Below are 16,620 nucleotides of genomic sequence, written 5' to 3'. Positions count from 1 at the left end.
TGAATATGAGCAGTTAGTCAGCCCAGCTGAAGGGTGTCAATTCAATTGTTATTTACAGAAATCACATGTAAACCGAGACACAAAGCTTCTTTTTTACCCTTTCCCTCCCTCCCTCCCATCCTTTTCTTTCTTTCTTTTCTTTCTTTCTTTTTTCTTTCTTTCTCTCTCTCTTTCTTTCTTTCTCTCTTTCTTTCTTTCTTTCTTTATTTCTCTGTCTCTTTCTTTTCCCTCTCCTTCCTTCCTTCCTTCCTTTCTCTCTCTCTCTCTTTCTTTCTTCCTTTCCTCTTTTTTATACAGGATCTTGCTCTGTTGCCTAGGCTGGAGTGCAGTGATGCAATCATAGCTCACTGTGACCTCAAACTCCTGGGCTCCATGGATCCTCCTGCCTCAGCCTCTCGAGTAGCTGGAACTACAGGCACATACCACTATGCCCGGCTAATTTTTAATTTTTTGTGGAGATGGAGTCCCACTATATTGCCCATGCTGGTCTCAAACCCCTGCCCTCAAGCTGCTCTCCCATCTTGGCCTCCCAAGCTGTGGAGATTACAGGCTGTTTTCTACTATATATGCCAAATGCACATGCATCATCATAAAAGTGACTTCACAATTGCAAAGTGATGTGCAGTTTCTAAAATTTGCTACCTATTATTCTTATGATATCTGGCTCTTTGTTTCATTTCTTGAAATGATTACTGTTCTGGTAGTTACTGGGAATGTCAAATAATTCTTGAGTATCCAGCTCTCTACCCCCAAGATATTACTAATTATTTCAGAAAACACTGTCAATGTCTGAAAAGCAATTTATAATAGTGTTTTCAAGTTATCTTAAAATTACTATATGTCAAATGCTCTTTTAGGAGGGAGGAGATAAACAATGCACTTTTTTTTTAAATAAGAGGGTTAATAAGCAATCTCTTATGTTACAATTGCAGTTTCCTAAAGCTGTTACTTAGTTATCTTGTCATCAAATAAGAACAGATGGCCTGAGCTCTTTCTCAGTACTTCATATGAATTTTGTTTTGAAAAAAAAAGGAGGAGGGAGCTTCAAGAACAAAATTATAGTCAAGAATACAAGATATTGTAAAAGGATCAGTTAGTATAATGGAATGAAAAGGGAATTTTGAAGCTACTTCAGCCTAGTGTTGAGAAATAGTTTGGCCAATTGATAAAAGTGGAGATTCCTGGACGTCATCCCAGAGATGTTCAGTAGGTCTGGATTGGGGTCCAGAATACTGGAAATCAAGGTATGCCACTTGGAGACACCCTAATCTAGGCAGATGAGGAGAGGCCCCAATGAGTTTATCTTTACTTGTTTTTATGCACCCTTAAATAATTATAAAAATTTTTGTCCAAAGTTGGGAATTCTCTGCAAATATGATAAGTGGCTTGCTTAAAGCCATATATCAAGGTAGTGGCAACCCCAATTCTCAGTCCTATGCTATTTCTTTTGAATTACAATCTTTGATGAAGAAAAGTCCATAAGAGAATATTACTGTGGCTCATGACACATTACCCTGTCCCATAGCAACGAAGAGATTCAAATTCAAATGTTTTAGGACAGAGACCATGATCAACTTGCTCCTTGTCCTAGAATAGGATAAGTAAAGCAAGTTTCATCATTGTTTCCCTCACTGTAATCTATTAATGGGATTCTCATCATTTAACTTTGGATTTCTCTGAGCTGATATCTAATGCAAGGGTTCAGTACAACATAGGATAAGAAGAGACTTGTGCTGTCATAATAGAGAGGATAAGAAGAGACTTGTTCTGTTGTAAATGGTCCTAAGATCAGCCAGTTGGGCTTACCAACCACAAAGCCAGGTAAAGAGGAATGAAAAGGCCATGTGGGGGCTGGGCGCGGTGGCTCACGCCTGTAATCCCAGCACTTTGGGAGGCCGAGGCAGGCAGATCACGAGGTCAGGAGTTCGAGACCATCCTGGCTAACACGGTGAAACCCCGTCTCTACTAAAAATACAAAAAAATTAGCCGGGCATGGTGGCGGGCCCCTGTAGTCCCAGCTACTCTGGAGGCTGAGGCAGGAGAATGGCGTGAACCCGGGAGGCAGAGCTTGCAGTGAGCCGAGATCGCGCCACTGCACTCCAGCCTGGGTGACAGAGCAAGACTCCGCCTCAAAAAAAAAAAAAAAAAAAAAAAAAAGAAAAGAAAAGGCCATGTGGAGAGGCACACTTTGGTTTTTATGACAAGATTGCTCCACTCATCCAAGAGACCATGAAATAAAAGTATCAGCTTAATTTTAAAGAGAAGATTCTATGCCATTCCACCATTTTGAATCATAAAAGAGCTAGCTGTTAGCATTAGAAAAAAGAAATATCAAAAAAGTCAGCAGTTAGCTTAATTATTGAAAAGAAAAAAATCAAGTGAGCTATTTGGAATGATAAGACAATCATTTATCAAAATGTTTTAATCCTTATGACTCATTGAAAAAAATTTAAAAATATAAAAAAAAACAACAAAAGATGTTTTTATCTTTACTTGATTTTATGTACCCTTAAAGAATTATAAAAATTTTTGTCCAAAGTTGGGAATTCTCTGCAAACCTCAGAATGTTTTTAGAATGGGGATGGGAATAAAGATACACAGCAAATTCCTTTTATTTAAAATCTTGTAAAATTGTCATCCTCTATTCACACATTTTGAAATCATTATTATTATCCCCAAACTACATAAGATTACTTTTTATTTATTTGATGTAAATGTTTCCCTCTCATATTAGTTTTCTTTTTTCAACAGATTCAACTAAATAAACTTTAATGTTGATTCTGTTCTTCCTAGAGATCCTAAACTTTGTGATTTTAGTGGAAAATCAGCAATACATTATGTGTCACAAATAGAGAGTTCAAAGAAACAGCAGCTTTTGGACATTTTAATGAGTTCTATGCCAAAACCAGGTAAATACTTTCACTCCACATGCATAATTTCCCAACCCAAAAATTCCTGTTAGATCTCTTTCTTTTTCTACATCTGTTTGATGGATCCATTTAAAGAAATCAAGTCCACGGCTATTTATGGAGCAGTGACTCTGTACAAGGCCCACGACTAGGTGCTCTGGGGGATGCAAAGAAGTCTAACGCAAGGTTTAAACTTTTGAAAATATACAGCATGGTCAGGGGCACATCACATAAGTCAGAGAGAGCTTGCTGTAAACTTGAAAGGGGAAGAGGGACTTATAGTGGTTCTTGAAGGCTGGATAACAGTGGGAAGGTTTGATATAGGTAGGAAAAGAGTCCAAACAAAGACAAAGAAACAGCCACAGCAAGAAGTATAATGAAAAGTGTGCCACTGAGCAGCGTGTGACTTTGTGAAAGCTGCCTGACTTTATTGTTTGATTCGCTTTCTGTTTGAAGCTTCGGGGGCAGAGGACAAAGCTATACCTAAGAAGGTTTCATGAAAGAGGTGAGACTTGATCTGACCTTTGAAAAAAGGATGCAATTTGATTTTGTGGAGCAGAGGCCCCTTGCTGGGAGTGAGCATAGCTTATCCCAGGGGCAAACAAGAAACTAGAACTGAAAGTTCATGTCAGGGAAAAGAGAAACAGAAGGTCAGATACATAAAGAAACTGGGCCCATGGAGGGGAGAGCCTTAGATGTCAGGCTGAAGGACATCACTTTTTTTTTTCAATAAAACAGACACTAAAGAATTTTAAGCCAGAGAATGATGAAGGCCATGTTTTAGGAATATTAACCTGTTCCTATCGTGTTGGCTACATCTGAGGGAAAAGGCAGGGATCTCTATTAAGAAATTATAGAAGTGCCCATATGTATGGTGGTAAGAACTAGGGAATGTGTCCTTGGGTGGGGTGTGAGAGTGAGCCTAAGAGATGCTGGGAGTGGTGGGTCTAGGAGACATTGTGAAAGAACAATTCACAGAACTGCGAGATGTGATGTTGACAGCGGAGACACAGAGACAACCGCTGAGAAACTTGAGTCAAAGATGACTAAATTTTAAGGCCTGGAAAGTGCAGGAGATGGAAATACAACCAACAAAATGGGAGCACATTGGAACTTTCAAGTAGCAAGTTTCTGTAGGACTGGGCTTGTGGGAAAGGACCGGTTGAAAGGTTAGTTTGGGAGTTCTCTACAGAGAGGAGATTGTGAGGACATGATGGTGGGTGAGGTCATTGAGGGACTGATGAGAGTGAGAAAATTGCAGAGGGCTGAGCCGAGGAGGTGCACCCGCAGATAGAGAGGAGCGGTGGGGACATCAGGACTCAGGAAGTGAGAGGAGGAGGAGAATCAGAAGAGAGTTGCGGGAAGAAAGGAGCAGGAAACAATGTTAAATTGGAAAAGAGATTACAAAGCAGATGTGGTAAGGATGTGAGACGTTTCAATGGCAGGATGTAGGCAGAAGATAGATTGCAGAGAGTAAAGAAGGAAAATATGATGAAGAAATGGAAAGTCTGGGTATAGATCACTTGTTCAATTTTGTTTCCACTACAAGATAAATGGAGGAGCCACTGAAAGAGGGGGAGTTTTTGTTGAAAGAAGCCAATGCTTATTAGAAGAAGCCAGGATAGCAGGAGGGGATACATATGAGAGCAATGTCCCTAGGGTACAAACTGGGAGTCTGCTGTTTGGTGTTAGGAACTCTGTCCATTTAATGTGGCTTTAATCACTAGATAGGAAGTGTGTTCAGAGGAGCTGAGTGTCTTTGTCCTGGGCAACTATAGAGCAAATGTGATTTCCAGCTTATCATTAGGGTTTCACTTAGCAACTTTGCCTACCACAAACCATTAATCCCAAACATTTGAAGTGATAACTGTTGATCGCTATTAATTTAACTTCATGATCACTCCCTTCTACAAACTAAAGAAGAAAGTTTGAGCGATCTAAATTTTTTAAATTATAGGATGGTCTGTAAGGCCCTGTGTTGCTTTGATTTCAGTTGTTAGCCAAATTGTGCAGAAATTATCCTCAATTCCCAAGAAATAACTTCAGGGGCTTCAGGGCAGTGCACAGATTCAGAGAAAGAAAATACAGTATCGATTGAGCCAGCAATAAGTCTTCAGTACCCTGAAAAATACATGGTAGTTTTTCAGGGTTTAGTTGGAAGAGGCCAAGAAGCATCTCCTAATCTTCCACCAGTAGAAGTCTGTAATGATGGGTCATCCTCAGGAAACATGGAAGACAGATGTCCTTCCTCTGCGCAGCTCTGGAGAAGAGGATTCCCTAACCTTGAACTGCTGATGGCTTTAATGGTTAAAAAGTTCTTACTCATGTCCCAGCACCCTACAGAGGGTTTTGCAATGACGACGTAGACATTAAGTATGAAGTGACTAGATTTAAGCTGAACTAAAATCTGACTCTTGTTAAGTTTTAATTTCTCATACAGCTTAAAATTTGGTGGGTGCTCAGATCAGATAGGATGATCGATTCATCCTAACTCTCTAAAAAATATTTCACTTGCTCAAAATCTCAAACTACCTGTTTGATTTTTTTGTCCTTATGTAATAGCAGTTACCATCAAAGCCTTAAAAAAAAATAGTAAGCCATCCACTCCGTGGACTCTTGTCTTCACATCTCTTCTTGTGAAAATTAGTGCTTGAAGCTTCATCAGGATCCCAGACCACTATTTCAGGAAAATCTTTGACAAAATGGAGCTGATTTTAGAACATAGAGCTAGATCTTCTTTTGAAATTGCTGGAGATGAATCTTATCAAAACATACTATTATGTTTCTTTTGATAGAAAGACATGCTGAGTCATTGCTTGACATTTGTCATGATACAAACTCTTCTCCAACTGATTTGATGACAGTTACCAAAAATCAAAACATCATCTTGCAAAGCATCAGCAGAAGTGAGGTAAGAGCCTCCCTTTAAAGAAACAACGGACAGCCTACTCCATCTACTACTTTATTTGTGTTGCTTGAATACTTCATAACACTCATATATTACAATTTTATTTTTAAGTGTAATCATAAAAAAGCATATTTGGTAAGACACTCTTCTGAAAGTTTAATCTCAGAGCAGTAATTAGCTAGTAAACTCTGAGACTCATGCATAAGATGTGTGTGTACACGTGTGTGTGTGTGTGTGTGTGTGTATGTGTGTGTGTCTTAGTCAGTTCTGGCTGCTATAACAAAGTACCATAGATTGGGTAGCTTATAAACAGAAATTTATTTCTTACAGTCCTGGAAGTCTGAGATCAGGGTGCCAGCAGGTTTGAGTCTGGTGAGGGCTGTCTTCTGGACTGCAGATTGCCAACCTCTCATATGCTCACTTGATGGACAGAGAGCTAGCTAGTGCTCTGGGGTCCCTTTTATAAGAGGCACTAATCCCATCATGAGGACTCTACTTTCATAATCTACCTCCCAAAGGCCCTACCTCCTACTTGCCATCACATTGGTAGTTAAGATTTCAACATATAAATTTTGGTGGGACACAAATATTCAGTTCTTTACTCTGGGTGAGCGTGCCTGTGTGTGTGTGTCTATGTGTCTCCAGTACCACAGAATATTGTTTCAGCTGAATCCATACTAAATAATCAAATGTACCTTCCTTTTTATGTACATTAATATTGAAAAGGAAGTCTAGGCTAGCCGTGGTGGTCCACACCTTGTATTAGTCCATTTCACACTGCTATAGATACTACCTGAGACTGGGTAATTTATAAACAAAAGAGGTTTAATTGACTCAGAGTTCCACATGGCTGGGGAGGCCCCAGGAAACTTACAATCATGGTGGGAGGCAAAGGGGAAGCAGGCACATCTTCACAAGGTGGTAGGAGAGACAGAGAGAGTGCAGGGGAAACTGCCACTTTTAAAACCATCAGATCTTGTGAGAACTCCCCCACTATCACAAGAACAGTATGGGGGAAACCGCCCCCATGATCCAATCACCTTCTACAAAGTCCCTCCCTTGACATGTGGGGATTACAATTCAAGATTAGATTTGCTGGGGAACACAGAGCCAAATCATATCACACCTGTAATTCCAGCAGTTTGTGAGGCTGAAGATCTGTTGAGGCCAGGAGTTCTGGACTGGCATGGGTAACAAAAAGAGACCTCATCTCTACTAAAAATAAAAAAAATTAGCTGGTCATGATGGCACACGCCTGTAGTCGCAGCTACTTGGGAGGCTGAGGTGGAAGAATCACTTGAGCCCAGGAGTTTCAGGCCTCAGTGAGCTATGATTGCACCAGTGAACTCTAGCCTGGGTGACAGAGCAAGACCCTGTCTCAATTTTTTAAAAAAGAAAGAGACAGGCACGGTGGCTCACGCCAGTAATCCCAGCACTTTGGGAGGCCAAGGCAGGTGGATCGCCTGAGGTCAGGAGTTCAAGACCAACCTGGCCAACACGGTGAAAGCCCATCTCTACTAAAAATACAAAAAATTAGCCAGGCTTGGTGGTGGGCACCTGTAATCCCAGCTACTCAGGAGGCTGAGGCAGGAGGATCGCTTGAACCAGGGAGGCAGAGGTTGCAGTGAGCCAAGATTGTGCCATTGCACTCCAGCCTGGGCAATAAGAGCGAAACTCCATTTCAAAAAAAAAAGGAAAAGAAAAGGAGATCATTAATCTGATCATATCAAACCCATCACAGGGTACCAAAAAGGAGGTGCCTCCTCGTGGCCCTGGTTATCATTCTGTCTATGATGAATGACTTTACAAAAAGTCCCCTATAGTACAGTAACAGTATTAGTAACAAGCATTGCAGCCCATAGAAAACCGTGGAATGAGACCCAAGATGTACAACAAACTGGCAACAGTGATTGCCTACAGAGAGAGAACTGGAGATGCAATTTGCACTGTTTACTCATTTGTACCTTTTGAATGTTTATAAAAATTAACATATCCCAAATAAAGATCCTACTACTCTATATTTTATTGGTTAAAAAAAAAAGTCCAAAAAATTTTTTATTTATTTTGAGATTGGGTCTCATTCTGTTGCCCAGGCCGAAGTGCCCTGGCATAAACATGGCTCACTGGAGCCTCAATCTCCCAGGCTCAAGCAATCCTCCTACCTCAGCCTCCTGACTAGCTGGGACTGCAGGCACATGCCACCACACCCAGCTAATTTAAAAAATTTTTTGAACTCCTAGCCTCAAGCAATCCTCCTGCCTCGGCCTCCTAAAGTAGTGGGATTACAGGCATGAGCCACCATTGCCATTTTCTAATTGGATTATTTGCTTTCTAACTGATAGGTTTAGAGAAGCCTTTATATATTCTAGGTATATGCTTCATAAAATATTTTCTCCTAGTCAAGAAAATAATTTGACTTTTTTTCATCCTTTTAATGTTTTATTAAAAAGAAGTTTTAAATTTTGATAAAAAACAACATCCATTTTTTTCTTTATGGATCATGATTTTTGTGACTAGGAATTGTTCACCGAAGCCCAGGACACAATTTTATCCTATGCTGTCTTCTAAAAGATTTATAGTTTCACATTTTACATTTAGAGTCATAATCCAATTAGAGCTTTTTTTTTTCTTTTTTTTTGAGATGGAGTCTCACTTCTGTCACCCAGGCTGGAGTGCAGTGGCACGATCTCTGCTCACTGCAACCTCTGCCTCCCAAGCAATTTTCCCGTCTCTGCCTCCTGAGTAGCTGGGATTAAAGGTGCCCACCACCACGCCTGGCTAATTTTTGTATTTTTAGTAGAGATGGGGTTTCACCATGTTGGCCAGGCTAGTCTCGCATTCCTGAGCTCAGGTGATCTGCCTGCCTTGGTTTCCCAAAGTGTTGGGGTTATAAGTGTGAGCCGCCACGCCCAGCGGAATTTGAGTTAATTTTTACAAAGTACAAGGTTTAGGTCGAGGTACGTATTTTTGCCTGTTGTTCCTCTATCATTTGTTGAAAAGACCATACTTCCTCCACTGATTTACTTTCACATCTTTGTAAAAAAAGAAAGAAAGAAAAAGAAAAAGAAAAAAGATCTGGTCCAGGTGCAGTGGCTTATGCCTGTACTCCCAGCACTTTGGGAAGCCAAGACAGTAGGATCACTTTGTGGGGGCAAGAGTTTGAAACCAGCTTGAACAACATAGCAAGAGCTGTCTCTACAAGAACTTTTAAAAATTAGCTGGGCATGGTGGTGTATACCTGTAGTCCTAGCTACTCAGGAGGCTGAGGCAGGATAATTGCTTGAGCCCAGGAAATTGAGGCCTCAGTGAGCCAAGACCATGCCACTATGCTCCAGCCTGGCCAACAAGAGGCCCAATCCCTTAAAAAAATATATATGTTGAGCTTCTTTCTTCAATTAAACTACTATCAATTCTTTTTTTTTTTTTTTTTTTTTTTGCTGTTGTTGCCAAGGCTGCTGGAGTGGAATGGCTCGATCTCGGCTCACCACAACCTCCGCTGCCCGGGTTCAAGTGATTGTCCTAACTCAGCCTCTGGAGTAGCTGGGATTACAGGCATGGGCCACCATGCCCGGCTAATTTTGTATTTTTAGTAGAGACGGGGTTTCTCTATGTTGGTCAGGCTGGTCTTGAACTCTCGACCTGAGGTGATCTGCCTGCCTCGGCCTCCCAGAGTGCTGGGATTACAGGCATGAGCCACCGTACCCGGCCTAAACTACTATCAATTCTAAGATGTGTACTTTGCATTTTAACCTCTTTGAAGTCAGACATCTTAAAATTGTCACTGTCAAATTGGTACCGTTTTGTCATTTTTAGTGGTACATAAAACAACAGTGTAGCTTTTAATCAAGGACATCTTAGATTTAGTGAAACATGGTAGGATACATTGCTAAACCCAAGTCACAATATAAAATGTCAGAAAGTGGATAGAGAAGTGAGAAATGATTTTGCAGCATGGAGAATGGTAAAACCTAATTTCCAGAGAAAGGATATTAATGAGAATCAAGATGATGTACTGCAAAGAACCATGGAAAAGCCCAGGAATTAGAGGCACCAGGTACTGCAGACGTTGGGAGTTAGCATGAGGTTGAAAAACAGGAGGGTTTGGTTGAAAATGTATATAAGGAGCAGAGAGATCCCCAACATTCTACTTCCACTCTGTGTAACTACATCACTACTCCTTCCCCACCCTCACAGAAGGCAGGAAGATTTGGTGGAGGATTATTTGAGCTGGAGGAATTCTGGACTTAGTAACAACATACAAAGTGAAAGATGGGAATCAGGTCTCAACCTGCAGGCTTAAGTCTGAATATTGACAGAGAGATTGCATCCATCCTCCTTCCCCACCTAGCTCCCATATGGCCAGCAGCCCGTTTATACTACTAAGCCAAAAGACTGGAAGATTCTTTTCTGGAGATTTAATAACCCCAGAAAATAAACCTACCGATACTGACATTTTTAAGTTCCCTGAAACACAAGCATTTCACCAGATTAACCCAGCGAAGCCCACCAACAGGTAAATAGCAATATACATAGAGAACTTCTAGTCATATTTTTAGAGTCATATTTTATCTTCCTTAATATGAAGAGCCAAGATAGCCAAGGGTTATCAGGTATTTGAGGAAAGCCTCCAATATGAAAAGTAGCATCAAAACAACAAGGAATGCAGATGACATCAGGAGCACAAAGAAATGAAGGGGAAGAAATAGTTTTAAAGGGAGGAGAGAAAAATAAAGAAAAAAATGTTATCAGAACCAAATGATATGAGTTTTCAAGTTTAAAGCACCCATCACTGCAAGACCCATCATTGCAGGACAGTGACTAAGTACATTACCTTAAAGTATTATGAACTTTTAAAGCACTGATGCTACAAGAGAATCCTAAAAGTTTTCAAAGAAAGAGAGAGAGATAATATAAAGGATAGGAAACTGGAATGGCACCAGATGTCTTAAAAATACCATTGTAAGCTACAAATATATGGAGCTACAAATATATGGAGCAATAAAAGACCTCTACACTGAAAGTAGTAAAATATTGCTGAAAATTTTAAGAAGACTTAAATAAATAGAATGATGTAACATGTTAGTGGATTGGAAAATTTACTTTTATAAAGATGTCAATTCTGCCAAATTCGTTTGTAGATTCAACACAGTCCCAATCAAAACCTAGCAGGTTTGTGTGTGTGTGTAAATTAACAAGCTGATTCTAAATTCATATAGAAAGGCAAAAGGCCAAGAATACTGAGGGCAATATTGAAGAAGAACAAAGTAGGAAGATTTACACTACTAGATATCACATCCTATTATAAAGCTAAATCAATTAAGGCAGTGTGATATTGCTAGAAATATAGATAAATCCATTACCTGATTTATGACAAAGTTCATGCTGCAGTGAAATAGGGGAAAGAATTTTCAATACATGGTTCTGGGTTGCATGGATAGTCATATACAAAACAATATGCATGTTGACCCCTACCTCACACCATATACAAAATCAATTCCACATTGATTGGAACAGATCACTGCAGCCTAGCATTCCTGAGCCCAAGCAAAACTCCTGCTTCAGTCTCCTGAGTAGCTGGGACTGCAGGCACATGCCACCATTCCCGGATAATTTTTTTCAATTTGTTTTTGGTAGAGATGGGGTCTTGCTTTGTTGCCCAGGGTGTTCTTGAACTCCTGGCTTCAAACAATGTCCCTGCCTCATCCTCCCAAAGTGCTGGAATTATAGATGTGAGCCATTTTGCCTGACCACACTAACCCTTTTGAAAGAAAATGTAAGAAAATCTTTGTGACCTTGGAGCTGGCAACAAATATTTTTTTTTTTTTTGAGATGGAGGCTCGCTCTGTTGCCAGGCTAGAGTGCTGTGGTGCAATCTCGGCTCACTGCAACCTCCAACTCCCTGGTTCAAGGGATTCTCCTGCCTCCGCCTCCCGAGTTGCTGGGATTATAAGCATGCACCACCATGCCCGGCTAATTTTTGTATTTTTAGTAGAGATGGGGTTTCACTATGTTGGCCAGGATGGTCTTGATCTCCTGACCTCGTGATCCACCCACCTCGGCCTCCTAAAGTGCTGGAATTACAGGCATGAGCCACTGTGCCCGGCCAACAATTTTTACAACAGAACACACATCACAAAAAATGCTTGCCATAAAAGAAAAGTTAATTAAATGGGCTATATTAAATGAAGCATTTCTTTTTATCTAAAGACATCATTAAGATAATAATAAGCAACTCATAAGGTGAGAAAAGATACTTAAAATGTATGTATCTGACAAAGGACCTGCATTCAGAAAAAATTTAAAAACTCCCACAAATTAGGAACAGATAGGCTAATAGAAAGTGGGCAAAAACTTGATCAGACACTTAGCAAAAAAAAGATGTCTAAATGGCCAACAAAATATATTAAAAGATGCTCAGCTTTTAGTCATTAGATAAATGTAATTTTAAACAACAATGTGATAACACTGCACATCCACAGAATGATTACAATTTTACAAGTTGGGAAATATCAAGTGTTGACAAGGATGTAGGGCAACAAGAACTTTCATGCACTGCTGATGGGAGAATGAACTGTTAGAATAATTTAGAAAGCTGTCTTTTGGTGTCTGTTAAAGAGAAATATATGCATACTCCATAATCCAGCAATTCTGCTCCTAAATACATACCTAACAGAAATGCATCATATGTTTACCATAAGCTACATATTATAATGATCATAGCAGCACTATTATAATAGCCCCCAAATGGAAAATACCCAAGTGCCTATCAAGAATAGAAAGGATACATAAATTGTGGTATATTCACATAGTGTAAAACTACACATAAATGAGAATGAGAGTGAATGATCTAAAATTACATGCAAAAATACAGATGAATCTCACAAATACACTGTTGAGCAAAAGAAACCAGACATAAAAAATTAAATCCTGTATGGGTCTATTTATATAAAAACAAAAGGAGGAATAACAAAGCTAATCTATGGTGTTAGAATTCAGAATAGCACTTGCATGAGAGTGTTCTTTGGGGATATTGGTAGTGTTCTTTTATTTGATCTGGGTCCTGGATACACAAATGTATTGGGTTTATTAAAATTAATCTATACACATATGGTAAGTGAACTTTTCTGAATGTATGCTATACTAAAATCAAAAGTAATGGAAAAGGGGTGGAGTAGGGAATGTCTTCAAATATCTGACACACACAAAAAAGAATATGGTTTTCAGCCAGGCATGGCTGTGGATACCTGTACCTGTGGTCCCAGCTACTCAGGAGGCTGAGATGGGAGGATAACTTGAGCCCAGGAGTTTGAGACGAGCCTGGACAACATGCCTTTTTTTTTTCTTTTCTTCTTTTTTGGAGACAGGGTCTCACTCTGTCACCTAGGCTGGGGTGCAGTGGCCAGTGGCATGATCACAGCTTACTGCAACCTCCGCCTTCCAGGCTTCAGCAAACCTCCCACCTCAGCCTCCTAAGTAGCTGGGATTACAGGCATGCTCCACCAGGCTCCGCTAATTTTTGCATTTTTTTGTAGAGATGGGGTTTCACCATGTCACCCAGGCTGATCTCGAACTCCTGGCCTGAAGTGATCTGCCCACCTCAGATTCCCAAAGTGCTGGGATTACAGATGTGAACCACTGGCCCGAATGAATGTGGTTTTCAAACTAGGATTCTATGCCCAAACAAACTCTCAGTTAAGCATTAGAGTTGAATAAAGACATTTTTCAGACACAGAAATCTCAAACATATTACTTCTGATATACCTTTTAAGGAAGCTACTAAGTGCTCTATTAAATTGAAAAAGTAAATAAAGAAAGAGGAAAAAATAGGATCTGTGACTCAGAGGATCAAGAGAGAGGAGGGAATCATTGGTATAATGAAGAAGGCAGGTCCCAGGACTTCAGCTAATTAGCAACTCTAGAAAACAAAGAGCTCAGATGATTGGGGGATTGGGGTGGGGGCAGGGAGCAGGACAGAGGAGGGAAACAGAACAGATATTGTTGTCTGATAAATTTCACCAAGTGGCAAGACCATTGTAGGTTGGGAAGATTTAGGCTTTAAATAAAAGGACATAAGAAAGTAAATAAAATAAACCAACTAGAAATTAAAAAACCAAGGGATGAGGGGAAGGAAGGATGAATAGGCAGAGCAAAGAAGATTTTTAGGGCACTGAAACTACTCTGTATGATTCTATAATGGTGGATACAGGTCATTATACATTTGTTCAAACCCATAGAATGTACAACACCAGGAGTGAACCTTAATGTTAACTACAGACAACTGTAACAAATGTACCACTCTGGAGGGCGATGTTAATAATGGGTGAGGCTGTGCATGTATGGGAGCAGGGGGTATATGGGAAATCCCTATACCTTGTTCTTCTTCTTCTTCTTCTTTTTTTTTTTTTTGGGACGGACTCTTACTCTGTCGCCCAGGCTGGAGCGCGATCTTGGCTCACTGCAACCTTCACCTCCTGGGTTCAAGTGATTCTTCTGCCTCAGCTTCCTGAGTAACTGGGGTTACAGGCATGCACCACCATGTCTGGCTAATTTTTGTATTTTTAGTAGAGACAGGGTTTCACCATGTTGACCAGGCTGGTCTCAAACCCTTGACCTTAGGAGATCCATCCACCTTGGCCTCCCAAAGTGTTAGGATTACAGGCGAGAGCCACTGTGCCCGGCCTATACCTTCCTCTTAATTTCTCTGTGAACTTAAAATGTCCCTAAAAATAAAGTCTATTCAAACAAACATACAAACAAACAAACAAACAAACAAGGGTTTGGGGGTTTGTTCTGGAAAATAAAACAGTTATACAAGAAAGAAAGCATAATCATACTATATTACAATTGTACTACTACATAGTACAATATCCTCATAATCAAAATTAGCCATTGACTATTGATTTAACAGCAAAGAAGGTAAATGTATTGGGAGGATGGAGGCAGGGCATAAGAACATTAAATTATTAACTGCCATAATAAGTCAATAGATGATGCCTCACTTTGATGAATCAAGAGACAGCATGATAACTATGCAGAAATACGGAAGAAAATACCAAAAGAAACAGCTAAAAGTTTGGAAGTGGTTGCCTCTGAGGAAAACGGTGACTGTTTTTCTCGGTATAAGTCTTTTACCATTATTTGATTTTTTTTACATGTGCAGTTTAATTTTGATAAAAATTAAGTGAAAATTAAAAATAAACGGTTAAATCAAGACTTCTCTGGGACATGGGATGGGATGAGCTACCATGGAAACATTCCTTTTTAAATCCTATTTGAATATTTTAGCTTTGCGCATTTATAAATTTTCTAAGTAGTTTAGTCTGCTTCCTACCAAAGTGGAATTTAGTACCCTGGTTCCCAACAAGGGAGTGATTCCCAGCGCCCACCTCCCACCCCTCCCACCCTAGGGGGTCATTTGACAATGTTTGCAGACATTTCTGGTATCATCACTAGGGGAGAATGCAACTGGCATCTTGTGGGTACAAGCCAGGGACGCTCCTAAACATCCTATCAGACACACGACAGCCCCCACAGCCAAGAATTATCTGGTCTTGAATGTCAACAGTGCAGAGACTGAGAAATTTGCTACATGTTGTCACAATATTGAAGGTTGCACTGTGTTTGGTTACTAATATTATATAGTAATCAAAATAAAATACCTAGAGACAAATCTTTAAGGTGAGTGTCATGCATAAGATATTGATAAACAAAAACATACTTTTTATTTTTATGGTCTATTTAAGCAATTTTCTTTTTAAAAGGACTAACTATATCACTTCATATTAATACATTGAAATAAATGTTTAAAAACATTTTTGTAGAGATGGGGTCTCACTATGTTGCCCAGGCTGGTCTCAAACTCCTGGCCTCAGCCAGGTGTGGTGGCATGCACCTGTAGAACCAACTACTTGGGAGGCTGAGGCAACAGGATCATTCAAGCCCAGGAGTTCAAAGTTACAGTGAGCTATGATCACACCACTGCACTCCAGCCAGGATGACAGAGGGAGAGTCTGTTTCTAAAAAACAAACAAACAAACAAACAAACAAACAACATCAAACTCTTAGTCTCAAGAGATTCTCCCACTTCTGTCTCCTAAAGTGCAGGAATTACAGGTGTGAGCCACCGTGCCTGATCAGTACATTTTTTGAGGCAACTTTAAGACTTTTTTTTTTTTTTTTTTGAGACAGAGTCTCGCTCTGTCGCCCAGGCTGGAGTACAGTGGCGCGATCTCGGCTCACTGCAAGCTCCGCCTCCCGGGTTCACGCCATTCTCCTGCCTCAGCTTCCCGAGTAGCTGGGACTGCAGGGGCCCGCCACTACGCCTGGCTAATTTTTTGTATTTTTAGTAGAGACGGGGTTTCTCCGTGTTAGCCAGGATGGTCTCGATCTCCTGACCTCGTGATCCACCCGCCTTGGCCTCCAAAAGTGCTGGGATAACAGGCGTGAGCCACCGCGCCTGGCAAAACTTTTTTTAAAAACCTTTCATTAGGTGTTTTTTCTTATTGTAGCCGAAATAAAGTTTAAACTCCTTTTTGAGGGAGAAATGGACTTTTTCAGTATTATATTTGCCTTTCCTTCCCTAGTGGTTTAACTGGGGTTTAAATCCCTTTCACTCTTTTCTTTAAATGAAAGCTTTGTTTTCTTTTTGGTTGTCTGAAATAGGTTTTTATAGTTTACAAATATAAGCAGCTGCCTTGCATGTAGGACAGCTCCAGAGAGGCTCGTTATAGACTCGCCCAGTCATCTTTTTTCACCTGAGGAGAATCTTCTTTCAAAATTTTATCATAGGCTGGATATGGTGGC

At 40.2% G+C, this 16,620-nt stretch overlaps 1 protein-coding gene across 15 annotated transcripts in view; it reads left to right on the top strand.

The window, feature by feature from the left end:
* The window catches only part of MAP3K19 (mitogen-activated protein kinase kinase kinase 19), an 82,957-nt gene that overhangs the window by 19,913 nt on the left and 46,424 nt on the right, over positions 1–16,620 (top strand). For 5 of the 15 annotated variants that reach the window (XM_017005006.3, XM_011511891.3, XM_017005007.2 and 2 more), the window contains exons 1-2: positions 3,886–4,078; positions 5,705–5,820. In XM_017005006.3, the coding sequence (XP_016860495.1) occupies positions 4,006–4,078; positions 5,705–5,820 (189 nt within the window). In that variant the 5' untranslated portion in view covers positions 3,886–4,005. Of the gene's footprint in view, positions 1–2,793; positions 2,910–3,885; positions 4,079–5,704; positions 5,821–16,620 lie in introns of those variants that run through there. The other 10 variants (NM_001018044.3, NM_001282883.2, NM_001018047.3 and 7 more) reach the window with 5 other exon arrangements.

The sequence above is a fragment of the Homo sapiens genome, chromosome 2 (genome assembly GCF_000001405.40).
Source record: "Homo sapiens chromosome 2, GRCh38.p14 Primary Assembly".
NCBI classification, from domain to species: Eukaryota; Metazoa; Chordata; class Mammalia; order Primates; family Hominidae; genus Homo; species Homo sapiens.
The sequence above is the reverse complement of the archived record's forward strand: the minus strand, read 5'-3'. Positions and strand labels throughout refer to the sequence as shown.